This window comes from Homo sapiens, chromosome 8 (genome assembly GCF_000001405.40).
Source record: "Homo sapiens chromosome 8, GRCh38.p14 Primary Assembly".
NCBI classification, from domain to species: domain Eukaryota; kingdom Metazoa; phylum Chordata; class Mammalia; order Primates; family Hominidae; genus Homo; species Homo sapiens.
Genome location: NC_000008.11, coordinates 1,853,024 through 1,879,367, shown reverse-complemented (window position 1 = coordinate 1,879,367; position 26,344 = coordinate 1,853,024). Strand labels below are relative to the sequence as shown.

Here is a 26,344-nt window from a genome sequence, read left to right as displayed (position 1 = left end):
GTTGGCATCCAAGCAAAAGATACTTGTATTTAAACTATACTGAAAGTGACATATTTTGGGGATGGCAGCACGGATTTTCAAGGGTCTCCAACCTGAGATCACTTTCTCTCTAACTGACGGGACTGGGGACCCCCTGGATCCTTCTCCGTGTGGTCACAGACACTTCAGATGCACGTGGCTGAGGCCCCACTGGCTCGTCTCGGGGCATTTCTCATGTCACAGACACTTTAGGAAGTTTTTAACAAAATTCGAGATTTTTTGAGATGACTTTTGAACAACATATAGTTTTATTTTGGTCGTTTTTAAAATGTGACCCTTTGAACGAGAAAACTTGGTGCTGCCTGCAGCACTTCCATCCTGGACAGGCCTAACACACGGGCGCCCTGTCTGCACCCCACACAGTATTCCCACCCCCGGTCCAGGCCACTGTCCTGGCAACATGGACGTGTAGGAGAGGCTGGAAATGCAGAGCCCAGCGCTCCCGGGTTGTAATTCTGCACCACAAACCCACTGTGTGCTGGCTTTCCCCAGCTCCTTCGCCCAGCAGGGAGGGCTGCTGAACCACTGGCACTGCCCAGACAGTCAAGGGCTCCTCTGGGATACGGGCCCGCTCCAAAGCAAGGGCAGGGTCTCCTGAATTACTACCAAGGAGTGACTACTAATGCCTCTCGGCTCCTCAGTGGCCTGGCCCCTCTGTCCACAGCCCACCATGAAGGCGAAACTGAAGAGCATTTAACCCACGCTCCGAGGCACACACCGAGCCTCCATCTGTGATGTCAGAGCCCAGCACTCTTCTTAAATCTCAGTTTAAATCAAGTGTCTGACTCAGCTACAGCAAGCGAAATATCACCTCAGTTATCAGCTGTTAAAAACTACAATTGCAGGCCGGGTGCAGTGGCTCATGCCTGTAATCCCAGCACTTTGGAGGGCTGAGGCAGGCAGATCACGAGGTCAGGAGTTCGAGACCAGCCTGGCCAATATGGTGAAACCCCGTCTCTACTAAAAATACAAAAATTAGCTGGTAGTGGAAGGTGCCTATAATCCCAGCTACTTGAGAGGCTGAGGCAGGAGAATTACTTGAATCTGGGAAGTGGAGGTTGCAGTGAGCCGAGATCACGCCATTGTACTTCAGCCTGAGCGACAGGCAAGACTCCATTTCAAAGAAAAAAAAAACCCGAAAAACTACAATTGCAGCTTCATCGGTTGTTTAAATCGCAGTTGTAATGATGACGGTGGCAGAAAAGATCTAATTCCTGGAAGAACTTGTGAATGAAACTGGGTAGGTGAGCTGACTGCCAAGATCTAGTAGATTCTCCTTGAGTTTCACGAGCCAGGTTCACAGAATATGAGAATTGTAGGCAGCCCATAATCACTTGTAAACCATAGGGACGTGGCAGCTAGGTCCAGGAATGAAATCTCCGCTTACTGGGGGTTACTAGGGGACCGGAGGGATAACACCGGTTATCGACAACTGTCACTATGGCGGGCATCCGTTCACCATCTCTATCAGTAACACGGGACTCGCCAGCCTCAGACAAGGACTGCGTGTGGCTTCCATCTCAGCCTCACACAGAAAGTACACAGACATCACTGTAGATGAGCACAAATCTATCCTTTTACAAACAGTCAAAAAAAACTCTAACAAAACACCGGTGGCACGGCCTGGCACCACCGAGACCTGGGAGGTGCCTCAGCTGAATGGTTCCTGGGTTCCATGACTCACAACCACCCAATTCCAGAATTCACGCCTTACAGCTCTGACATCCCACCTCACACCCTAATCTCAAGACTTTTCCACAAAAAAAGTAAAATAAAAATTCCCTGTAAGAAAGGATCATCCGGCTGGGTGTGGTGGTTCACACCTGCAATCCCAGCACTTTGGGAGGCCGAGGTGGGCAGATCACCTGAGGTCAGGGATTCGAGACTAGCCTGGCCAACATAGGGAAACCCCATCTCTAATAAAAATACGAAAATTAGCTAGGAGTCATGGCAGGCACCTGTAATCCCAGCTACTTGGGAGGCTGAGGCAAGAGAATGGCTTAAACCTGGGAGGCAGAGATTGCAGTGAGCTGAGATTGCGCCATTGCACTCCAGCCTGGGAGACAGAACGAGACTCCATCTCAAAAAAAAGAAAAAGAAAAAAGAAAGGATTGTCACAGGTCAGTTTAGAAGCTTTTGTCCCTTAACATCTTCTATTTTTACGTCTTCCTTTTCATGCTGAACATGCTAAAGTTGAAACCTCACTTAAAGCAAAGTGCAGATGTGCTGTGTCTTAGGGAACCCCGATCCCATCTATTCAGTGTTCCGCAAACGGTGCTACGTGCAAAGCACATAATACATTAAAACACAAGCAATTCAGAGAATAACTACTTTCTTATTCAAGGTGGTGAGCTCATTTAAGACCTTTTAAGTGGATTATAGAAGCTTAATTTCTCCATCTTTCCATGACGATACTTAACTATATGAAACAAGACACGTCTTCTCCTTTGCCAATATCTTATGCTTTCCCCAAACTACTTATCAGCATCTTAACAAATCACTATGAAGTACTAGGTGGATCACAATCATATTCACAGCCCCCTGTCCGTGTTAACGCGAGAGAACCATCCCTCACATGTGCAGGGAACACGTACTTGCTTTTTGTGGTTGCTGCGCAGGAAGGACCTGGGAATCCCATTCTTGCACTCCGAGTCACTCTGCTCTTCGTAACTTTCAAATTCACTCGAACTCCATCCGTATTCCAAGGAGCTGTTTCCACCTTCATCCCCATTCTCAACATCATCATAAATCATTTCATCTGAGTGCATAAATTCCAAAATGAAATTAAAACTTTAGAATTCCATGTGGGCTGTTTTGTGCCTGTTTGTGGTTTTACCAAATCATCTAGAGCTGGGGGTGGAAGGAAATCTGAATCATGCTGAGGACCCTGCGGAGCCCCGGGCTTGCTCCATGGAAGGCACCGTGCAGCGCCTCCACCACCCGGGCAGGGCCGGGGAGGCTGGGGAAAAGCACTTCAGGTGTTTCTCACAAGTGCCCCTGCCCCATCTGTACCCCGAGGACCACCTGGCTATGGGCATCCGCCACAGTCATGCCAGGTAACTTGTCAGCCTTAGAGAACTTCACAAGAAGAAAAATCTTCCTTTATATAAACTTACAGGATGTTTTGAAAATTAGACAGAGAGAAATGGTGGACAGATGATAGGCATGTCGATGGACGGTGGATTATAGAAATATGGGTAGGTGGATGGATAGGTGGATGATACAGATATTCAAGTACCAGCACTAGCAAGAAAATACACACGGATTTTTAAATTTTCAATGCTGTGACACTAACAAGACTTTTAGAGAATGAAAATGACATTCTTCAAACTCCCAGAATATGAGTGTCTCTCTAACTCTTTTATCAGTCACACAAGCATAAATGTTTCTTTATTTTACCTGGTTTCTTAGATACAAATAATCTCCATGCCTTAAAAATATTAAATTTATTCTTTATGCATCCACAGTCATTCACTGTAACAAAACTTGGCCTTAAAAATCCTTAGTAATTAAGCACTGAGGAATATACACATCTCAGCACATAAGTAACATTCAAAGCCAACACTTGCTTTCACTGGAAATGCAAAATTAGACATGAACTTGTCACTTACAATCCTTAGATATTTCAAATTACCCTATCCTTGTAATATTTCTCCACTGACTACAAAACAGGTCCTCCAAATGTCTGATTAAAAGTTCTGGCAGGTCAACAGCAGCCTGGCAAAGCCATAAAATGCGTGAAATGAGCTCACTTTGCAGAAGCTGCAGTGTGTTCTGTGTGCCACGGACAATGATCACCACCCGGGCACCCAGCAGTCTCAGCAACTCAGCTCAGCGGATGAATGGGTCAAGTCCTTGCACAATTGCCTGAAATTTGGGGCTGGGCATCATCCTGAGAGCTCACCCACATGCCCAAGAGCCAAGAGTCATCCTGAGAGCCTACCCACGTGCCCAAGAGCGGAGGGTCTACAGCCTCTACCATGTACTAGGGGACTCAGAGAAAAGCACCCCTACGCTCCCCAGTGTGTGTCTCCACTGTTCCTCCAGCCTGTCTTAGAACCTCCACCCCCTACACGCCCTGGTGTGTGTCTGCACTCTCCCACCAGACTGTCTTAGAACCTCTATCCCCGACACAGCCCCGTGTGTGTCTGCACTCTCCCACCAGACTGTCTTAGAACCTGTACCCCCTACACGGCCCCGGGTGTGTCTGCACTCTCCCACCAGACTGTCTTAGAACCTCTACCCCCTACACGCCGTGGTGTGTGTCTCCACTGTTCCTCCAGCCTGTCTTAGAACCTCTACCCCCTACACGCCCTGGTGTGTGTCTGCACTCTCCCACCAGACTGTCTTAGAACCTCTATCCCCGACACAGCCCCGTGTGTGTCTGCACTCTCCCACCAGACTGTCTTAGAACCTGTACCCCCTACACGGCCCCGGGTGTGTCTGCACTCTCCCACCAGACTGTCTTAGAACCTCTACCCCCTACACGCCGTGGTGTGTGTCTCCACTGTTCCTCCAGCCTGTCTTAGAACCTCTACCCCCTACACGCCCTGGTGTGTGTCTCCACTGTTCCTCCAGCCTGTCTTAGAACCTCCACTGCTTACACACCCCGGTGTGTGTCTGCACTCTCCCTCCAGACTGTCTTAGAACCTCTACCCCCTACACACCCTGGTGTGTGTCTGCACTGTTCCTCCAGCCTGTCTTAGAACCTCCACCCGCTACACACCCCGGTATGTATCTGGACTGTCCCTCCAGAGGTTATAAGGAAACTCCATCCCCTATTTCCTCGCATCCATCTCTGGACTTCCAACTTTTCTGGTCCATACAAAACAAGTCTACACAGACATGGTTTTCACACATGTTACCTTTTTCACCTCAATTAGATTTTCAGCCCTTTGAGAGCTGGAGCTGCATTTTCTGTATTCCGCACAGCAGTTGGCAAGAGTCTAATCAATCAATCCAGCTCTCTCAATGCCTTGTTAAGGCTCCTGGGACCCAGCCACAGGATCAGGCACGTTTGGACGCCTTTACTTAGGTCTGTTAGAACTCAGGCTATTCAGATGTGTGAAAAACGGGTGGTTTTCAATGTTTTAGAAACGCAATTGCTGTTGTGACCCCCAGCAAACACGGAACTTCCAAGGACTTTGAAGGGTCTTGCTAACCATCAATTCAGTGAATTACTCACTTCCTCTTGAATGCCTGGGCTGGCAGATTTGTGGTTCTAAAATTGAACGTTAAATCCAGTCACCCTGGCATGTGTTTTCTGACCAAGCCAGTGACCAGGCAGCGCCATCGACTTATTGTCCTCGATGACAATCTTGTCGTTGGCCCTTAGCCCCGCGTATTTAAAAAGTGGCCTATGGAGGCATTGGCTGTACAGTGAGCGTACCTAATGCCACTCAGTCCTACGTGCTGAACTGACCGAAAGGAATATTTACGTATACCTGACACAATAAAAAAAAAAGAAAAAAGTGGCCCTGTGTGGCCTCTGTAACATCTAGTAAGGAATTCTCCCATATTCTCCCTGTGTTCTGAGAGCCCCGAACTCTAAACGAGTGAAGAAATGTGGGTGCACTACCCCGCGGCACCTCTCAAGGCAACTAGGAAATGCGAGTGCACTACCCCGCGGGCACCGCTCAATGAAACGAGGAAATGCGGGTGCACTACCCCGCGGCACCTCTCAAGGCAACTAGGAAATGCGGGTGCACTACCCCGCGGGCACCTCTCAAGGCAACTAGGAAATGCGGGTGCACTACCCCGCGGCACCTCTCAAGGCAACTAGGAAATGCGGGTGCACTACCCCGCGGGCGCCTCTCAAACGAGGAAATGCGGGTGCACTACCCCGCGGGCGCCTCTCAACGCAACGAGGAAATGCGGGTGCACTACCCCGCGGGCTCCTCTCAATGCAACTTGATGCCAGCACACTGTGACTTTCTCCTCTTGCTTTTGCTTTTTGCTCACCATTGCTTCTGAGTTCTTATAAACATACACACATATAATTTCCTCGTTTTTCTGCTGCCGTGCTGTGGGTGGTTTACTGGATACTTCTGCACGGTGCCCTCCTGCAGCCACCAGGCTTTCCCGTCTCCCGGTCCGCACAACAGCTCTGCACAGAGCATCCCACAGGGCCCTCCTGCGGCGGCGTGAGTTTCTTTCGGAAACTGGCTCCCTGCCCCACCACCGCTATGGATGGCCGGTCCATTAACTCCTGCTTGTGCTGTCCTTACAAAGGGGACACACTGGGCCTCGCCACACGGCAGGGGGCCGACGGCTGGACTCCCGCAGTGTGTTGGCTTCTGAGTCACCAGACCACGCCTTCCGCGAGGAATGCCCGAAGCGACCGGATAAATTACCCCAAAATGCATTTCAAACTTGTTTTTACATCAACTAACCTTTGGTCCTCACTTTCTTTGTGGCACATTTACCTGCAAGCACCTAGGAGTTTTCCTGATCAACAGGATGAAATCACCCTATCTCCATGACAGCAGGCACACCTCCATCTACTATTCGGTATGTAACTGCCCAAAACATATTTGCGGAATGAATAAATTAACGAACGCCGTGAGCTCCTCCCCATTACGTTGGCGGTAGATTTTAAGAACACGTCCTTAATTCAGCTAAGTGAGTTTCCTTCTATCAGCAGTTTTTAATGTTGGATGGTCACTGAATCTCAGCAAGTGCTTTTTAAACACATGCTGAGATAAGCATATGGGTTTATGTCCATCAATTTGGGGAAATCGTGTTACAAGAGCTTCTCAAAGGATCCTTGAACTGCTGCCATGAATGTAAAAGGTTAAAACAGGCTCTTGCTTACTTGTTAGGGTCATGCTGGATTCAACTTCCTGACATTTCTGGAAGGAAATGTAGCATCAACCTTCGCAGGTGAGGGAGTTTACAAGTTTCTGCTAACATTATAAACTAATTCTCACCTCATCCTTGCTTCTGCTATTCACTGGAACAGTGCATGCGACTGAGGGGTTTGTCCGCTCCCTGAAGGCTCAATAAACCCCAGCATAAAAACATCTGAGCCTGGTGGGCTGTTCTGCACAGTAGTTAAGCAAACCATTCATTATGTTGGATCATTATAGGTTTATTCATGGTTTTTATTTTGGGTATAGTTGATTCTTCAAGGCAATTTTTAATTTCATCTAACTTTTTGATAAAAAGTTATTTATAGCATCCTCTTATGATTTTTACAAATTTCTACTGCAGTTACATCCTCTTGATCAACTTTTTCCTTCCTTCCTTTCCTTCCTTCCTTCTTCCATCCCTCTCCCCTCTTTCTCTGTGTCATCTTAATATAACCAGAGGCTTGTCTATTTTTGTACTATTTTTAAAGAACCAACCTTTGGTTTTGTTAATACTTTATGTTGCTTCCTGGATTTTTATTTCATCATTTTTGCCTTGCCCATTATTTTTTTCCTGCCACTTCCTTTGACTCTGCTGCTCTTTCGTGCAGCTGGCTGGATACTCAGTTCACTGCTCTCTGTTGTTTGTTTTGTTTTGTTTTTTCAGAGGGAGTCTCGCTCTGTTGCCCAGGCTGGAGTGTAGTGGTGCAACCTCGGCTCACCGCAACCTCCACCTCCCGGGTTCAAGTAATTCTCTGTCTCAGCCACCCGAGTAGCTGGAATTACAGGTGCCTACCATCATGCCCGGCTAATTTTTGTACTTTTAGTAGAGATGGGGTTTCACCATCTTGGCCAGGCTGGTCTTGAACTCCTGACCTCATGATCCACCCGGCTCGGCCTCCCAAAGTGCTGGGATTACAGGTGTGAGCCACCGCGCCCATTCTGTTTTATTAACATATGCCATTATGTCTATAATTCCTTAGACTTTAAAATCTATCCCATATAGTTTATGTAATGTTTTTATTATTATTCAAGACAAAATATTTTCATTTCCATTTTATCTTTGACCATGAGTTACAGAGTAGTATATCATTTTTAATTTCTAAATGTTTGTATTGATTTTTTTTTACTGATTTTATTCAGTTATTATGAGGAAATAAGGTCTGAACATCCATTCTTTGGCATTTGTTAATATTTGTTTTGAGGCATACTATATAGTTAATTTTTTAAAATATTTCATGTGTTTAAAAAAATACATATTCTGGAACTACTTGCTTCAAAGATCTGTATATGACCTTCAAGTCAATCATACTACATTGCTGTTCTAATCTTTTATGGTTTACTGATTTTTTTTTTTTTTTTTTTTTTGACACAGAGTTTTCACTCATTTCCCAGGCTGGAGAGCAGTGGCACAATCTCGACTCACTGCAGCCTCCGCTTCCTGGGTTCAAGTGATTCTCCTGCCTCAGCCTCCCAAGTAGCTGGAATTACAGGCGCCCGCCACCACGCCTGTCTAATTTTTGTATTTTTAGTAGAGATGGGGTTTCACCATGTTGGCCCGGCTGGTCTTGAACTCCCGACCTCAAGTGATCCATCCACCTTGGCCTCCCAAAGTGTTGGGATGACAGGCGTGAGCGACCGTGCCTGGCCGGTTTACTGATTTTATGTCCAGGATCTGTCAATAGCAGAGACAGTTTTCTTAAAATCTCTCACCCCAACAGCGTATTTACATATTTCTGATTAAGCCTTGTTATATTTTGCTTATATATCTTAAGGCTATGCTGTTAGGTGCATATGAGTTTAGAACTGTTATATATCTTCCTCATGAATTATTCCTTGCTTATGGCTTAACATTTAGTGTATTATTATAGTTATACTGACAATACTTTGGTTAGAATTTGCATTATATTTCTTTTTCCATCCATTTACTTACAAATCTTCTGTACTCTTATGTATCTCTCACAAGAATTTATGGCTAGCTTTGCTATTTTATCCAATCTGAGGATTTCTTTTACTGGCAATAGGATGCACTTTACTATGCGTACCAATATGTTTGTACTTATTTTGCAGTCTTTTCTCATATGATTTGCAAAGCTTTCTTATTTTATATTTTCTTGCATTTACCAGATTGGGTTTTGCACTACTGGTTTCAAAGTTAAAATAATCTATTCCTATTTTCTTAGCAGTTACCCATAAAACGCAAACTGGACCAATCCATAGCAAAAAAAAAAAAAAAAAAAAAAAAAATCGGTAACAAGATCCTCCCCCTGAAAAATGCCGACTTCAGAACTTCAGAACACACGGCATGAACGGTCACCCTCCTCTTCAGTCGGCACTGGCTGGGGCTCCGGCTGCATCTGAAACTCAATCGGCACTATCAGCGCTGTCTTGAGCGGTGCTGGTATCGACTCTCCACACGCCCGACACTTCCCGGGCTCCCCACTCCCTCCGGGCCCCTGTCACCTCCTCCGTGGTTCAGTGTGCTCTTCCCTGCAGCGAGTGCATCATTAACTATTTCCTTAGATTCTATGGGCAGCAAGCTCCCCCGCTCTGCCTCCTGCGGCCCATCGCCCTTTCTAAAGGACTGTACTTTGCTGGACGTGGCCGCTCAGGTTAAAAGAGCCACGTCCTTCTTCGCTTTGAGAACCCGCCCCCAGCCTGTGGGTCAGTGGAATAGCGGTTCCTGTGTAGGCAGCCATGTTTTCTCTCCAGTTGCTCTCGGGAGATTCACCCTGGGCCTGGTGCTCCGCGGCCTCCATTGCATCGGCCTAGGTATGGATCAACGTGTAATTCATCTTGCTTTGAATCTCTATGTCTAAAATCTGAGAATTTATGTTTTTCTTTAATTGTAGAGAATTCTTAGTTATTTCTTTGACTATTACCTTTGCCTGATTCTCTCTACTTTCTCACTGATGTCATTTATTCGATATACATTGCTGCTTCTCAGCCTCTGTGTTTCCTACCTCTTTGCCGGCATTTTCTGTACCTTTACTCCTCTGTTTGCTTGGGATAAGTAAGATTAAACTGCCCTATTTCAAGGGTTATAAGCACACACACATATGTGCACAAACACCAATATTCCACCACACATCAATAAGCCATTCTAGAAGCAACATACAAAACATGAATACAGAAAACGTCTGGGCCGTCCACTAAATAGTCACTTTGGCATCCAGAGGGAAAGGCTGCTGAGCTGAATCTCCTCAAATCAATTCCAGACAAAATCAAACCTGGTTCAGAGTCTGAGTTTTCCCTTGGAACGTCATCGTAAATTGCTTCCTCTGGATCTGCAATAAACGGGGAGAAACACTTTAAACAGTGACCAACAAAACCTAGTGCAATTTAAATTTTACAGGGCCACAGTCGCCGATGATGTCATGATTATTCAAAAAGTTGGTTTATAAGGGTAGTTTTTTTTTTATTTTTTACTTTTTCGTTCTTTGTCCCAACTAGTAGACAATGAGGGCTGTAAGGTAGCTAACAGCACCTTACCAAAGCATAAGCATTATTTTTAGGGCAGAATAATTTATTGGGAATGAAGGATGTCTCTTTAAATGGACCAGCTGTAAAATGTCACTAGGAAGGAGTTTTATGGTTTCCAGGTCAAACTTATTCTATGATTTTGTGTTCAATTACACACTTCTATATGGCTCTCTGACGAGTATTTTAAGCTTATGAAGTTGACGTTCTGACGCACAAAAAAATACAACGGTGGCACACAGACTTCCAGAAATAAGAAAAGAGCCCATCAGTGCTGGATACAATGGAAAACCATCCCAATAAACCAATGACACCATAATTTTGTGCCACTGAAAGTAAAAAGTAGTAGCAAGTATCAAAATGCTAAACATATAGGACAGTGTTTCTCAATCTGTATCACGTGCAACACTGGGGTTCTGTGAAAGTGAAACCGTTTCATAAAAAAGAAGGCAAGTTCTGTAAGCAAAACCGTGCTGTATGAGATGACCACACAGGACACCAACAATGAGCCTGAGGTTTACTCAAATATCTGTAAGAGTTACACGCTTCACATGAAAATCCGTTTCATAAAAAGACCTTTAAATCGAGGTTCCACTCATTGACTAGCGGTGCCCTCCCTGCAAGAGAACGTCCAAACTATGACATATGACTGCATCAAAAACATACAGACAACCGCTTCCTCAGCCACATAAGACAGAAAATGAGACCAACAAACCCGAACTCTCCCCTGACATCCAGCCACCACTCCTGTCCCCACACTAGCAGGAAATAAAAATTCAGGAAAATTCCTTATCTGCTGCTGTTGTCAAGCTCCAGTATTACAGACGCTCTTTCTTTTAATAGCATTTACTATCTGCAACCACAGTAAAGATTTCTACTCCTCTTAGATAATGTTCAGAGACTGCTAGTTTAGAGATCATATTTCCAAATATAGTTATTCCAATTCACTGCCATCTGGGTAATAAAAATGAGTAATGAGAAAAAAATCAGACAAATTTTACCTCGGAAATAAAACTGTTAGCAAACAGCCAAGACAATAATTTAATCCTGTAACGATCCTGCTTTAATAGGCACACAGCGGAATCATCTAATTACACTAAGATCTTTGTTTTAACAACGTCATAATTGAAACCAGAATGAAAACTTCCAGGAGGCAGTTTAATAATCAGGAGGTAACTAAGATGGTTCTACCTTGTAAGTTGATCATATGAAACAGTAACATAGAAATTAGTGAGCCAGTGGATAATGAGAGGCATAATCAGGAAAGTAATCTTGCTTTTCCTTTAAAAATTAAAAAAAACAAGTAAATCTAGCTAAAAATCTTTCAGCCTTTGAAGCCGCAGGTGGGACTGCAGATCTGGCCACCTGGAGGGGGGCTGGCTCAGCCAACTTAAAGGGAGAAAGAATGCCTTTAGGTTTACTCTGAATTGTACGGAAGCTGGAGCCGCGTGTTGGAAATGCGCTCGCTTTAATCCACACAGAGACGGGACATAATCCTACAGGTTTAAATGTACATAAAAATAGAGTTTGGAATTCTTTGCTCTGTTTACGTTGCAGACTGCTCTCATTTCAAGGAGTGAGATTATAAATAAAATGATGCACTTTTGGATGTTTCCTGTTTTTGAAATCTAAACACGAATCATTCACGTGACCAAAAATTGTGTTTTTGTCAAAATACATGTCTAGTCTGTCCTTTAAGTAATAGTTCTCTTAAATAAGCTGTGATATTAATCAGATCATTACCAATTAGCTTTTCAAGCACATTTGCTTCAGGCTATTGTTTTGGAAAAATACGCTACAGAACTTATTTTTAAGTTACAAATAAATAAGAGGCTACTAAATGTTTTGGAATCTGTTGTTTCTGCCAAAGGTAAATTAACAAAACATTTATTCGGGAATCCCCATTTAAATTTGTACGATTAGATAAAAGAAAACACCAAGTTATGTAAAATAAAGTGTGTATGGGACAAAAAAAAAAAAAAAAGGGAGGCCCACCCGCCCCCTCTTCAAAACGGGTGCCAGACACTGCATCTCCCTGGGAATCACAGGCAAGCGCAGGGTGGGCGTGTGGGTGGTGGCTGACCATGGCTGCAGGTCAGAGTTTCTGTTACCCACATATCTCACTGTTACCATAATAATAAAGCCTGTGCTAGAAAGAAACGACCAGGAAGAGTGAGTGCGTGGACGTGGAGAGCTGGGGTGGCCTCACGGGAAGTGACAGCTTCAGGGAACCCGGGGAAACTTCTGCACAGTCAGCCCATGTTACTATTTTCAGTAAATAAACATCTTTTTAGAGTTTTAGATCTGATGGGACCTGAGACTCAGGGACCCGGCCCCGCCGCAGTGACGTCTGTGGAGCGTGGTGAGGATTCTGGCTGTGGGCAGCTGGGGAACTTACTCTCCATCCAGGCTGTGTTGGCCGGGTCTGCGGCCCAGCGGGCAAGTGCGCTGTCCTCTCGACCGACTTGATCTTCACTTAAAGAAAACAAACCATAAAGTCAGAATATCCAGGCACAGCCCAAGTCACTAGGATGCCAACTGCCCTGCAGAGTGTGTGTGTGTGTGTGTGTGTGTGTGTCAGAATATATATATATATGTTACTATACAGGAAATCACATATTTTCCCAGCTATTATTATAGGACATCCCAAGTTCAAGCTTTCACTCATAACTCTGTAAATAAGTATTCCAGATGTTTGGCCTACGCACGGCACAGAACACGGGCAAGGGCAATACAGCCGCAATACGGTCCTTGCCCTAGAAGGCCTGAACTGTCTTCTGGTTTTTCAGCCACCCCTTTGAGGACCTCTTAGGCCCTGCTCACAACGCTGGGTGGGAGAGATGCCAGCGGGCAATGGGCCGTCTCCATGTCCAGGAGCAGGTCAGTGGGAGAAAGAGATGCAAGGCCACCCAGCATAAACCATGGTGCTCTGCCCCCAGCGGGTGGTCACATGGGCCACCAGAGTCCCACACACACAGGGACTGCGGTGTCATCCTTTGCAATGGGTAGCTACGGGAATGCTCCACTCGGAAGGATGATGAGGTCAGACTCACTGCACACACCAAGCATCGCCCCATGAGAGGCACCACTGCTGACAAATGAGATGCACCAGGGATCAGTCGTCCCGACACCGCGTCCTGTGGGGAGCTGTGCAAGGATGAGCCCGGTGGCAGCGCAGAGACACTGCTGGGAAGGCCAAGACCGGAAGCAGAGTGAGCACCCAGAGACGTGTATGGAAGGCCTCGGAAAATGTTCCTATGGGAAGGGTCACTAACGGAATCACGTGATAATCCGTGCAGAGCACCCCACGATGACGACTTCTCAAGCAAAAGCTCTAACAGGCCCCAAGGTACCTGCAGGACCTTGAGGATGAGGGAAGAGAGCCCGTGTCCTGGTGATGGCCCTGTGGGTGCTGCGGGATGCCCCATGCCCTGATGACGGCCCCCTGGGTGCCGGGGGACGCCCTGTGTCCTGGTGACGGCCTCATGGGTGCTGGGGGATGCCCCGTGTCCTGGTGATGGCCCCCTGGGTGCTGGGGGATGCCCCATGCCCTGGTGATGGCCCCCTGGGTGCTGGGGGATGCCCCATGTCCTGGTGACCACCCCCTGGGTGCTGGGGGATGCCCCGTGTCCTGGTGATGGCCTCATGGGTGCTGGGGGATGCCCTGTGTCCTGGTGACGGCCCCCTGGGTGCTGGGGGATGCCCCATGTCCTGGTGATGGCCTCATGGGTGCTGGGGTCGCCCTGTGTGCTGTGCTGTGCACCTGTGAAATTAGGATGCAGCCCCCTGCTCTGAGAACTTATCACATCACCAAGGAGCATTCTTGCACTTTTAAAGTTTAAAATAATATCAAAACAAAAAGTTACCTAAAAAGGTAAAAGAAAATCTGAATCAAACAGAAACACTATTTTAAACTATTCATAACTATTTCTATGTTTGAAAAATTTCATCCTTTTGAAGATCATTTAAGGTTTTCCTCACACTACATTCTATATACATTTTCTTCAAAATAATTCCTATTTTCAATGCACATATTTTTCACAATACATTTTAGATCACCAGTGATAACACGCTACCACTAATTTTTAATTTTACATAAAATCTGCAATTTCTAATGGAGAACCGTGGCTGGACCTACCTGGTGGCACAACTCTGTTTAAACTGGGGCAAGAGCACTGCTCTAGTGGCTGCTGCTCCCCAGATACCCCACCCGCCTGCAGGCGGTTTCACGGGGGACGCTTTACCCTGCAAAGGCCGCCTTCATGATAGAAAGGAGAAAAGCAAATGAGGGAAAGCAACAGCAGGGCCGTGACAAGGGCCAAGCCTGGACACACCTGGACGCCTGAAATCAGACCCAGTTATCAGACCCTCAGTCCACTCGTCCTGACCCTACATTTCCAGGGACACTCGCCTGGGAGGGACCCGAGGCAGGAGGTGGGGTTGGGACAGCTCCCGCCGCGCAGAGCTGAGGATGGCGGGCAGGGACACACACCAGGATCCCCACGTCCAGCTCCTCAGGAGAAAGGCGGGAATTCAGCAGGTGTGGGAAGACGGATGCAGATACCTGGTTGGAGGCTCCTCGGAACTCAGAGAATTGGGCTGGCGATCTTCTGTGACTTCTGGTGTTTCTGCTGGGAAAGAAAATATGTGATGCTGCTTTACGCCTGACAAAAATGCTCATGAAGTTGATGTTTTTACCCTTAAAAATGGTTTCACACTTTCCTATCAATCAGAGGCTTATCTTAGCATAAGGGTGATTAATAAACTTAAAAATTTTTAGCTCTTAGATAAAATGTATTCAAGACTGGAATCTAATAAAATGTGATCTACTGAGGGCTTGTGAAACAGCCAGAAATAAACTGCACCAGCACCCAAATGCATCAGGCTAGAGTTAGAAAGAAACGGGATGTTCTCTCCCACTCCACATGTGCATGGGAGCCACGGCTGTGACCGGCACCCAGATGCATCAGGCTAGAGTTAGAAAGAAACGGGATGTTCTCTCCCACTCCATGTGTCCACAGGAGCCACGGCTGTGACTGGCCTGAAGGGGCATCCGCCTGGCACGCTCAAAAGATGTTCAAGAGAGGAGTGGTTACGCTTGTGACATGTGACACCAGCTTTCACTGGCACACGCTCACATCCCTCCACACGCAAATACACGCGCAGTCCGACCCGCCTGACGATTCCTCCCTGCCTGTCTGTGGCTCTCCAGGGTGAACGGTGAGCCGTGAGCAAAGCCGCAGTGCAGGTTTCCCAAACATTCCACACAGGTGGGGTACGAACTTAGACCATCCAAGGACAGCCTGAGACGCCAGTGCAGAAGAAGCAGACCCTCCCACCTCGGAGGGCTCCTGGGCAGAAGCCAGCCAGAGTCTGTGATGGCTGTACTGCGTGGGTGCGGGCCACGTGGTCCCTTGACGAATCTGCCACCGCCCAGCCGCGTGGCACCAAGAATGATGTGGGGAAGGAGAGCCAGCAGCACTCAGCGGCTGCTGCTCATCGCCACACTGGCAGCTGTCCATGAAACACTTTCTAAAGGGAATTTATCTTTGGAATGAGCAACAGTTCTCAACCGTTTTCAAACCGCAGCAGTTGGCTCAAAGTCGGAGACAGCTGAGCTCGATGTAACCTGCTTGGAGGTCTCATCCCTGAAAACAGGTCCCTGGTCACACCAGGAGCTGCCACACAGCTGGATGCTGACTAGCAACAGACACGAGATGCCCGAGGGGCTGGGGGGGTGGATCTGCGGGTAGCGCTGCAAATCCCACATGCATCTGCTGGTTCAGTGTTCCGGGCCACCTTCCTGAGTGGCAGGTGTCAGGGCAGACACAGGGCCAGGATCTGAAATCCAATCTGCCTGCTCCAAAAACTGCCCTTCCCACACTGCCACACTGCCTCAAAGAAACACCCAAAGATCCAGCTGGCCGCGGTGGCTCATGCCTGTAATCCCAGCACTTTCGGAGGCTGAGGCGGGCGGATCACGAGGTCAGGAGATCAAGTCCATCCTGGTCAACATGGTGAAACCCTGTCTCTACTAAAAAAAAAATACAAAAAATTAGCCGGGCGTGGTGGCGGGCGCCTGTAGTCCCAGCTACTTGGGAGGCTGAGGCAGGAGAACGGTGTGAACCCGGGAGGCGGAGCTTGCAGTGAGCCGAGATCCCGCCACTGTACTCCAGCCTGAGCGACAGAGCGAGACTCTGTCTCAAAAAAAAAAAAAAAAAAAAAGAAGAAGAAAAAAAGGAAAAGAAACACCCAAAGAGCCACAAAGCTTTTACTTGTGTTTTGCAGAGGGACAAAGGCAGGACGTGCTGCCCAGCAGCAATCTCGCTGCACGGTGAGAAATGTCTCCCCCACGGGGGTGTCCAGGAGCACAGACTCCCATCCCCAGAGCACACACATGAGCCCTCTCAGGGCTCCACCCCAGGAAACTCTTCTTTCCTCCGCCTTCCGGGAAATTAAGGTGCAAACTGAGTCTGTCAAGGTCAGAAGGAGGCAGACACGCTGGCCAGGGAGTCGCCTAAACAGCTCCGAGCAGCAGCGCACCCAGAGGCTTCTGGCCACAACAGCCCGTGCGTAAACAAGAGCAGGACCTGCCTGTGGACGTCTTTGAGAGCTGGTTTCGGTAGGCAGGAAAAATAACGGAATCTGGTCATCCCAGTTTGGCCAGCTGGGAGCTCCAGGCAGGGCTCTGCAACCTCCCACCGCAGGCCTGGGGATCCTGGCTGGGCTGTACGTCCCGGGGAAGCCCTGCAGAGCCAGGCGGCCGCCCCGCCCCAGGGAGGCTCCAGAGCAAGGAACAGAAAAGCCAGCAGTGCCACCAGGCAGGAAGTGTGGGCCAGGCTGGGGACCGGGCCTAACACCAAATCCACGCTTTTCCACCTCCCAGGAAGGAGGTCTGCGTTCACATCCCTCATTCAATGATCAAAACGCAACCGGAGAACCACCTGCTCCTCTACTCCGGGACTTAAAATAGTCTTTATTAGAACAAGGCTTTATTACTGGCTCTAGGTTGACAGAACAAAAATAAGCAAATTGTTTTAAATTCATGCTAAGTTATTTTAAAAATAAATTAAATGATATGCAATTATTTTAAATAATCAAATAATATTTTAAAATAAGAAAATCACTTTAAAACAAACGTATTTTCCTTCAGCCAAGAATCCTACACTCTGCACGCCCTCATTTCCAGGGGGTTCTCATGCTCCGCGGTCACAGAGTGACAACAGCAGCGTGGATCATGCAGACCGTGGTGAGTTCCGAGGACTCTGGCCGACTTCAACAGGAAAACGCACAGGAGGCCGTCTATTCTGAAACCTCTGTGTTTCCCAAAATCCAAAATTGAGATTTTTCTTTAAGGATTTTTTTTTCTCAACTGTTATTAACTGGAAAGGGAAGGCTGCTTCCACTGAAACCTTTACAGGAATAAGAATCATGTCTCAGGCGTAGAGGCTGTGGGCTTCCATTAGAGGAACATCCCATGAACCCTGGGAATCCTGCAGCGCGTTCCTGGGAAAGACAGCATAGAAACAGATCTGGGCAAAAAAGGAAAACTTCGGCTGAGACGCCTCGACTGGGTCGCTCCTGAAGACAGAGGCAGGGTATGTGCTTACCCTCACCCTGGCGCCTGGCCCTACAGCAGGGCCGGCAGGAGGCCCCAGCCCTTGGGCTGCAGTCGAAGCAGCCACGGACTGCACGCTGTCCTTCCAGCAGAACCCTGTGGCTCTGCAGACACAGCTGGTGCGTGACTACACATGGCAGGGCCATGTAAGGACAGCAGAGAACGGGCTCCACCAACCAAGCCCCTTCTAGAGCACATGGCCACTCCTTCTCACTAAGTGGAGGAGGAAGCAGACTCGAAATGGAGCTGTCAGCGCTGAGGACACAGAGACCGGAGGTGAGCGAGGCACCCACGAGGGCACCCACAGTCCTCGCTCGGAGCATGTCCTGGCTACAGGGAACACCGTCCTCAGTGGCCGACTCTGAGCCCTTTGTGCTGCCCCAGGTGGCTCTGACCTTCCACTGAGGACTCTGCTGAGATCCTGCGGCATCTTCCCGGCGAGGAAAAGCATGAGTGGGAAACAGGGAGCCCCTGAGGCAATTCTCCCACCCCCACCACCCCTCCATCCTCTGGAATGAAGACAGCGAGACACACGCTTTGACCCCAGGGAGTCTGAGTCTATAGACAAGCAGGTGACACGGGACATACATAACGGTAACTGTCATCTAGCACAGTAAGTCATACAGGCCAAAAACTGCACACACTCCCGTGAGCAGCTGGTGGGGGAATCAGAGATCGGGGTGAAGTTCAAGGCACCCCAGACATGAGGGGGCAACACATTCGGCACCAGACGTTGTTTCAAAAATTTCCAAACCATACACCCTGGCCTTCCCTCAGTGGTGTTCCTGTCACTGAAGATGAACTAGGGGCTCATTTTCCAACTCTGTAAACAAACATCTAATGACCTGGGTGGGGGCAGGGGGAAGGTCAGGCCCGGACTCTACGGAACCACAGGCCACATCAGGGGCATGGAGAGGAGGAGGAGGGAAGGTCAGGCCCAGACTCTACGGAACCACAGGCCACATCGGGGGCATGGAGAGGAGGAGGAGGGGGGAAGGTTAGGCCCGGACTCTACGGAACCACAGGCCACATCGGGGGCATGGAGAGGAGGAGGAGGGGGGAAGGTCAGGCCCGGACTCTACGGAACCACAGGCCACATCCGGGGCATGCAGAGGAGGGAACCACAGGCCACTTCGGGGGCGTGGAGAGGAGGGAACCACAGGCCACTTCGGGGGCGTGGAGAGGAGGGTAGCAGTACCTTCTTCGTCCAGGGACGTGGCGCAGATGATGACCGGGCTGGAGTAGGCGGGCAGCAGGAGGGGCAGGTTGGAGGGCACCGCATAGCCGCAGGGTACAGGCACCAAGTACCCGCAGGGCACATGGAGACCCACATTCTCCTCCTCAGCGCTGGGCACGGGGGTGGGCGGCTGGTCCTCCTGGAATGGCGTGATGTCGATGACAGAATATGGGTTGACTTTCATCGGGAGCACCAGCTTAGTAGGCTCTGCCACTGGGGTGGTTTCTGCTCCAGCTCCATCCTCACCTCCTGGGGATGCAGAAAGGACTTGTCAGCAGACACATCACCAAGGGCATGGCAGGCATGCCCTCCTGGAGCGCAAGTGGGAAGCAGGTATGAGCTCCCACCATCATCCCATGCCAGGACCCCTAGACGTTCCCAGGTCATCAGGTGGCCTCGGAGGGAGCACTCACACATGGGGAACCCAGCATCACCTCTGGGCACAGGTGAGACGGATGCAGCCTGGTCACTACAGGAGGCTCATCCCATGAGCTAAGTCAGGGAGAAGCTGCCGGAGGAGGGCAGCTGCTCCCCTCACCAAGAGTCTGGTGCTACACACAAAGAAACACCATGCAAGCTGAGAGGCGGGTGCTGTGCACAAAGAAACGCCATGCAAACAACCGAGAGGCTGATGCTATGGCCAAAGAAACACTGTGCAAACAACCGAGAGGCTGGTGCTATGCACAAAGAAACACCATGTAAGCAGAGAGGCGGGTGCTGCGCACAAAGAAACACCGTGCAAACAACCGAGAGGCAGGTGCTATGGCCAAAGAAACACCGGGCAAACAACCGAGAGGCTGGTGCTATGCACAAAGAAACACCGTGTAAGCAGAGAGGCGCGTGCTGCACACAAAGAAACACCATGCAAACAACCAAGAGGCAGGTGCTATGGCCAAAGAAACACCGGGCAAACAACCGAGAGGCAGGTGCTATGGCCAAAGAAACACCGGGCAAACAACCGAGAGGCTGGTGCTGTGCACAAAGAAACACCGTGTAAGCAGAGAGGCGCGTGCTGCGCACAAAGAAACACCGTGCAAGCAGAGAGGCGGGTACTATGCACAAAGAAACACCGTGCAAACAACCAAGAGGCAGGTGCTATGGCCAAAGAAACACCGGGCAAACAACCGAGAGGCTGGCGCTACGCACAAAGAAACCATGCAAAGAACCGAGAGGCTGGTGCTACGCACAAAGAAACACGGTACAAGCCAAGAGGTGGGTGCTATGCACAAAGAAACGGCATGCAAACAACCGAGAGGCTGGTGCTGCACCCAAAGAAATGCCGTGCAAGCAGAGAGAAACACTGTGCAAACTGACAGGCTGGTACTACACCTGAAGAAACACCGTGCGAGCCAAGAGGAACGCTGCCAAACTGAGAGGCTGGTACTACACCTGAAGAAACACCGTGCGAGCTGAGAGGCGGGTGCTACACAGGAAGAAACACTGTGCAGGCTCTCCCACCACTGCCTGACCTGAGCAGTCCCTCTGGTCAGCGAATGAAAGCACCCAACCCACCTCCAAACTTAGAAAGCGAAACCTCTACAGCTACTTCATCCCACATGTTCTGAATATTTCTTTTAATCTAGTGATACAATGATGAGGTCATTCTTATTGGGAAATAGCAATACTTTTTCTTTGCAAAATACAAAGGTAGAGTGAAAAGGTTGAAAATTATGGAAAATAGTACAAAGAGAAGAAACTTAGCCAATCTTAAATTAAGTCCTTTCAGGTACATCATGAAGAAATCATAACTCTCTGGCTCCTAGAAATCATCCTTTCCCTACAATGTTCCAATTGGGCCGTAAGAATGGGGAGAAAATCGGCGAGTCCGATGGCTGAGCACAGGTGACCCTGATGCCGGTGATCTGCGGACTCACCTGGGAACCCCCCAGGGGACTCACCTGGGGACCCACCTGGGGACTCACCTGGGGACTCACCTGGGAACTCACCTGGTGACTCACATGGGGACCCACCTGGGGACTCACCTGGGGACCCACCTGGGGACTCACCTGGGGACCCTCCTGGAAACTCACCTGTGGGTGCAGGGGCTTCACTGGCTCCAGCACCTCCTGTCTCAGGGGCGGATGGGGCCTGTCTGTCCGCTTCTGGGATTTCATCTCCACTGTCAAAATCGAACTGTTCTCCCTCTTCCTCTTCATTATTATTGGTATCATATTTCATTTCATTTTCTAAAAAGAAAAACCAAAACCACATCAAGGAGAGATAGATAGATAGATAGATAGATAGATAGATAGATAGATAGATAGATCGATCGATCTATGTTAGCCAGAGACACTGACTAAGTTCCTCTGTGCTGTACTGCGCTTGTAGTTAACCTTTTTAAGGGGCAAAATAAGTATCATTAGAATTCTGAGTCACTGGTTTTTATTTTCTTTTAATAGGATCTACAACTCACAGAGAAGAAACAAGAGGCTGGGGGTGGTAGCTCACATCTGTAATCCCAGCACTTTGGGAGGCCAAGGTGGGCAGATCACAAGGTAAGAAGCTTGAGACCAGCCTGGCCAACATGGTGAAACCCCATCTCTACTAAAAATAAAAAAATTAGCCAGGCGTGTTGGCGGGCACCTGTAATCCCAGCTTCTCAGGAAGGTGGGGCAGGAGAATGGCTTGAACCCGAGAGGCGGAGGTTGCAGTGAACCGAGATTGCACCATTGCACTCCAGCCTGGGTGACAGGGCAAAACTCTGTCTCAAAAAAAAAAAAAAAGAAAAGAAAACAAGAGAAAGTAAGGGGAAAAAAGAGCTTTTCACATTTTAAATCTGTGCACCCAGCAGATGAACATCACCCGGCTGGGCTGATGGTCTGGAAGAGAATTCAGTATCATCCACTTTACTTTTAGAAATAACTTCTGACACCTTGCATCTCTCCCTAGAATTCTTCTCCTTTTATTTTCATTTTGCCTCTCTTATTTACAATTTTAATTAAATATCTCTGATGGTTAGAAAATCAGTGTCAAATATGAACACCGATATATAGCTTAAAATACAAACCTCCATAATTATTAAAGAGCATGGTTAATAACTGTTCCAAGTAAGTGCTTGATAAGAAACATTTTGCAGGAGGCGAGTCACAGGTCTCCTTGGACCGGGGTTACGGCTGATGGCGCAGCCTGCCGTGTGCATCATTTGCAGAGACGGCGTGCTAGGACTGTGTGCCACCATCAGAGCAGACAGGTGCTTCTCCTTTTTCCAGAGGAGACCCATGTGCTGGGACAACACCACCCGGCACACCCAGGAGCGAGAGGAACCCAGCCCCTGCCAGCCTTTCCCAAGGGCTGGGATTTCTTCCCAGCACACGTTCCTGAGGAAACCTCCTGCTGCCATGCCCGGCAATCCACAGAAGCAGGTGGCACCTCGGGACAGAGCCTGGGTCAGCCCAAACCAAGCCCCTCCAACACAGACAATCCCCCGTGGGCCAGGGAGATGCACCCAAGCAGGACGGCCCAGCTCGGCTGCAGGCAGCTCCGGAGGGGGCTGAGGGGGAGCCCTGCTAGGGAGCAACCCACAGACACACAACCCACTTACACTCCACGCAGTCTCCAGGCGCTCTCTGCCGAGCCTCCTGGGGAAGTCGCCTCCCGGGGAACTCTAGCGGTCTAAAAACAACCTTTAAATTTGAGGTGTTTCATTTTCCTTTGAATCTCCTAAACTAGTCATACATTCTAGGAGTGCCTTTTGAAGGAAACAGATTTTTAGGTCACCACAAATACACAGAGGGGCCCAGGCCCACGACAGCGTGAACTGGATCCAGCTACCACTGCAAGGACGGTGGGGATGAGACCCCCAGCTGACCATGACACCTGGGGACCCCACGAGCTTTCTGGAACTGCTTCCACCAACACTCACGAGTTTTACAAGTATGAGAATGACAAATACTAAAATTGAATCAAGAAAAAGGATTCAGAAATGTGTTATTTTTAAAACATACGTCTGATAGGAGTGTGTGTTGCTGTCCTTCTGGATGGTGAACTCTGCTCTGCCCAGATACCAAAGCCTCACCCACTTCCTAGAGGGTCAAAGACTTCTCTAAATTCAAAGTTTTGAATTTAAGCCTAATCAAATGAAACAATCGAAGCAGGGGGAGAGCTGGAATGGACAGAACCGCTAATTTCCAGAGTTTGAGCCTTGTTAACTATGTACTTTCAAACCAGTCCTCACTGTCTCCCAAGCGACCGTAAACAAAACCTATTTCAGAAGGGGTTTTTTTTTTTGCCATATCATTAAGTAGTCAGTTTATGGAAATGAACTGGTGAATACCTTTTAAAGTAAAAAGTTAAACAAACAAAAAAACTGTTTTCTGGAATATTTTCCAAATGCAACTGTCATTTCCACAGAATTCACGTTTGGGGAGAAAAAATCATGTTTGCCAAATAAACGTGCTGCGGAAACAATGCCGACTAAATGCCGTGACGAAAATGATCAGTGAAAATGTTTATGTATTGCTGGGCGCAGGGGCTCACACGTGTAATCCCAGCACTTTCAAAGGCCAAGGAGGACTAATTGCTTGAGCCCAGGAATTTGAGACCAGCCTGGACAACATAGTGAAACCCCGTCTCTTAAAAAAAAAAAAAGGTACAAAAATTAGCCTGGGGTGAAGGCGTGGACCTGTGGTCCCACCTACTCCGAAGGCTGAGGTGGGAGGATCACCTGAACCCAGTAAGCGGAAGTTGCAGTGAGCTGAGATTGCGCCACCGCACTGCAGCCTGGGGGACAGAGCAACACCTTGTCCCCCACCCCAAAAAAAGTTTCTGTTCTGACCACCCCAAAAAAAGTCACTGCCAGGCACATGTTCAGATTCATCCAGACGGTGACACAATCACACTAGATTTTTATATTGTCAACTCTCTTTTTTGGAAATTATAGTTTACTACCGCTGAACTCAAACAATTAGATAAAATACACCTAGACATGAGTCTATAAATATTGTTTTTTAAAAAAGCTTGACAATGTCTGGTACAAAATAGGCTCTCAAATATCTGCAAGGGGAGAAACATGAGCTGTTGGGACCGGAACCCACACTGTACCCCATACAGGAAGAAGGAATTCTCTTTAAAGTCTTCAGGAAGGAAGGCCGTGAACAGGAGCCCGTGTGTGCAGGAAACAGCCCTGAGGAGACACCGAGGCCCCTCCACTCCCTCCCCATACGCCACCTCCTGGGCTGTGACACCAGCCCCGGGAGACCGGTGGGATTACCTGGGACAGTGCATGTCCCGTGTGCCAGGTACAGGTATGACCCTGAGAAGAACCGCATGCGTTCTCGGAGCCGGCACCTCTGCTCACCGCCCAGCAAGGTGCAGTGGGAAACCTGGTTGGCGGCAATGTGTGACACGCACATCATGTGAGCGAATGAATGAGAGAATGACGAGCAGATGAGCAAGCTTCAAACTGTTTTTTGCCAAAATAACTCACTTTTTCCCCTAGTAAAATTTAAGTAGAATTCTACTATACAAGGGAAATCAAAGCAATCAAGAAATTCCTCCAAAAGTTTAAATCTTGTTAGTTTAGACTTGGAGGGGCTTGGAAGGGGCTTGGGGCTTGGAATTCAAGAGCTCTCTGCTGTCATTGAAAGACTGGCAGACACTGGCGGAGCTGCCCTCCATCCTCTGCAAACACTGCAGGGAAAGACTTTCAAGTTATATAGACTCTGCAGAATGATGTGTGTTACAAATTCCTCTCAGAATTCAGTTCCAGTAAGAAAAAAATAGCCTTTCTACAAGAACTCAAAGAAGTTGTGCTCAATGTAACCACCTGAGGCTGCACCCCTGCCTGCATGGGTGCCCACAGCTGTGCCCACGGCGGGCGCCCAGGACAGAGGGCGAGGCCGCCTGGAGCTGGGCTGCTCCTCTGACCCCCACCTCCAAGGGGGCCTCCATCGATGGTGAGGCTGCGCCGCCCTCTGAGGTGAGCATGGGGCCGGGCGTTCAAGGTGGTGTGTGCTGAGCATGTCCATCCCAGACACTGCCCTGGGCCCTGGGGGATCCTGGGCATCACAGACCCCACCCGAGCTCCCCAGGTCCCTTAGTGAAGTGCAATGCAGAATGCCTTTAAAAATCCCAGCATTTGGGGTCCTAAGTTTAGTTCTGACACCAGCCCTGACAGGTTCAATTGTGTCCCCTAAATCCCTGTGCTGAAATCCTCACCCCCAGTCTGCTGGTGAGCTCGTCTGCAAACAGGTGACTGCAGGTGCAATTGGTTTACAGGAGGCTGTGCTAGAGCAGGCTCGGCTAACCCAGTGTGGCAGTGTCCTCATGACAGCAGAGGCCAGCACAGGGACGAGGAGCCACCTGGCAGTGCAGCTGCAGGAACTCCCGGGAGTGCCCACAGCCGGCGGGCGCTGGAAGAGGCAAGGAAGGCTGTGACCTACATTCCCGGGGAGCACACACAGCCTGCCAGCACCCTGACCTGGGACTTCCGGCCTGCAACCCAGGAGGCTCCCCCGCAAGCTCGGCCAAGCCCTTTCCAACACAAAAGGTCCTGTGCCATCCTCAGGGCCCTGGCGGGAGCCAGGCAAGCTGGGCTGGGTCGGTTCCCACAACACTCCTGCTGCAGCCACAGAAGGAATTCCCGCTTCTCAAAACCCCAGCTTCAGAACCCAGCCATTCAGCTGAAGGAGAACACTGATGAGAAAAACTACAATTTGCAAACTAGAAAAGATGCTCAAGGGCTGCTGAAAGCATCTCAGGAGATACAACGTGTTGTAGTTTGAGACGACATGGATCTTTCAAAAAGCTGTTGGGGAATCTGCAGTGTAGCCGTCATTCGCTGGACACACCATGGCCCAGTGTTCTCCGCCCGTTGGTCCCTGTGGAGCCCAGGAGGTGGGCGGGAAGGGCCCGGCGCTCTGGGTAGGCAGCTGGCAGGGAAGCAGGGAAGGGCGGCCTGGGCAGGGCTGCACCTAGGGAGAGGCTCTGTGCCCCTCCTGCCCACTCAGGACGGCAGGTTCTGAGAGTCACCCATGAAGGCCATGACACGGAGGAGGAAACACAGACGGCAGTGCAGCCCGTGCCGACCCACAGGCATCCAGCCCAAATCTAACCACCCGCCAGTGCCCGGCCCAAATCTAACCACCCGCCAGCGCCCGGCCCAAATCTAACCTGGGGACCATT

At 49.0% G+C, this 26,344-nt stretch overlaps 1 protein-coding gene across 22 annotated transcripts in view, besides 2 other annotated features; it reads right to left on the bottom strand.

The window, feature by feature from the left end:
• ARHGEF10 (Rho guanine nucleotide exchange factor 10) overlaps positions 1 to 26,344 on the bottom strand; it is a 135,313-nt gene that overhangs the window by 79,274 nt on the left and 29,695 nt on the right. For 14 of the 22 annotated variants that reach the window (XM_047422450.1, XM_047422454.1, NM_001438092.1 and 11 more), the window contains 6 exons: positions 21,253 to 21,408; positions 19,184 to 19,471; positions 14,932 to 14,998; positions 12,766 to 12,842; positions 10,118 to 10,174; positions 2,634 to 2,797 (listed from right to left, as the gene is read on the bottom strand). In XM_047422450.1, the coding sequence (XP_047278406.1) occupies positions 2,634 to 2,797; positions 10,118 to 10,174; positions 12,766 to 12,842; positions 14,932 to 14,998; positions 19,184 to 19,471; positions 21,253 to 21,408 (809 nt within the window). Of the gene's footprint in view, positions 1 to 2,633; positions 2,808 to 10,117; positions 10,175 to 12,765; positions 12,843 to 14,931; positions 14,999 to 19,183; positions 19,472 to 21,252; positions 21,409 to 26,344 lie in introns of those variants that run through there. The other 8 variants (XM_047422452.1, XM_047422456.1, XM_047422461.1 and 5 more) reach the window with 2 other exon arrangements.
• Positions 5,278 to 5,989: an enhancer, noted in NCBI's record as "H3K4me1 hESC enhancer chr8:1821545-1822256 (GRCh37/hg19 assembly coordinates)". NCBI's record gives its function as "activates a minimal SCP1, AML or CMV promoter by ChIP-STARR-seq in primed H9 embryonic stem cells {active_cell/tissue: H9 hESC(primed)}" and the evidence as "EXISTENCE:reporter gene assay evidence [ECO:0000049][PMID:30033119]".
• Positions 13,676 to 14,508: an enhancer, noted in NCBI's record as "H3K4me1 hESC enhancer chr8:1813026-1813858 (GRCh37/hg19 assembly coordinates)". NCBI's record gives its function as "activates a minimal SCP1, AML or CMV promoter by ChIP-STARR-seq in naive H9 embryonic stem cells {active_cell/tissue: H9 hESC(naive)}" and the evidence as "EXISTENCE:reporter gene assay evidence [ECO:0000049][PMID:30033119]".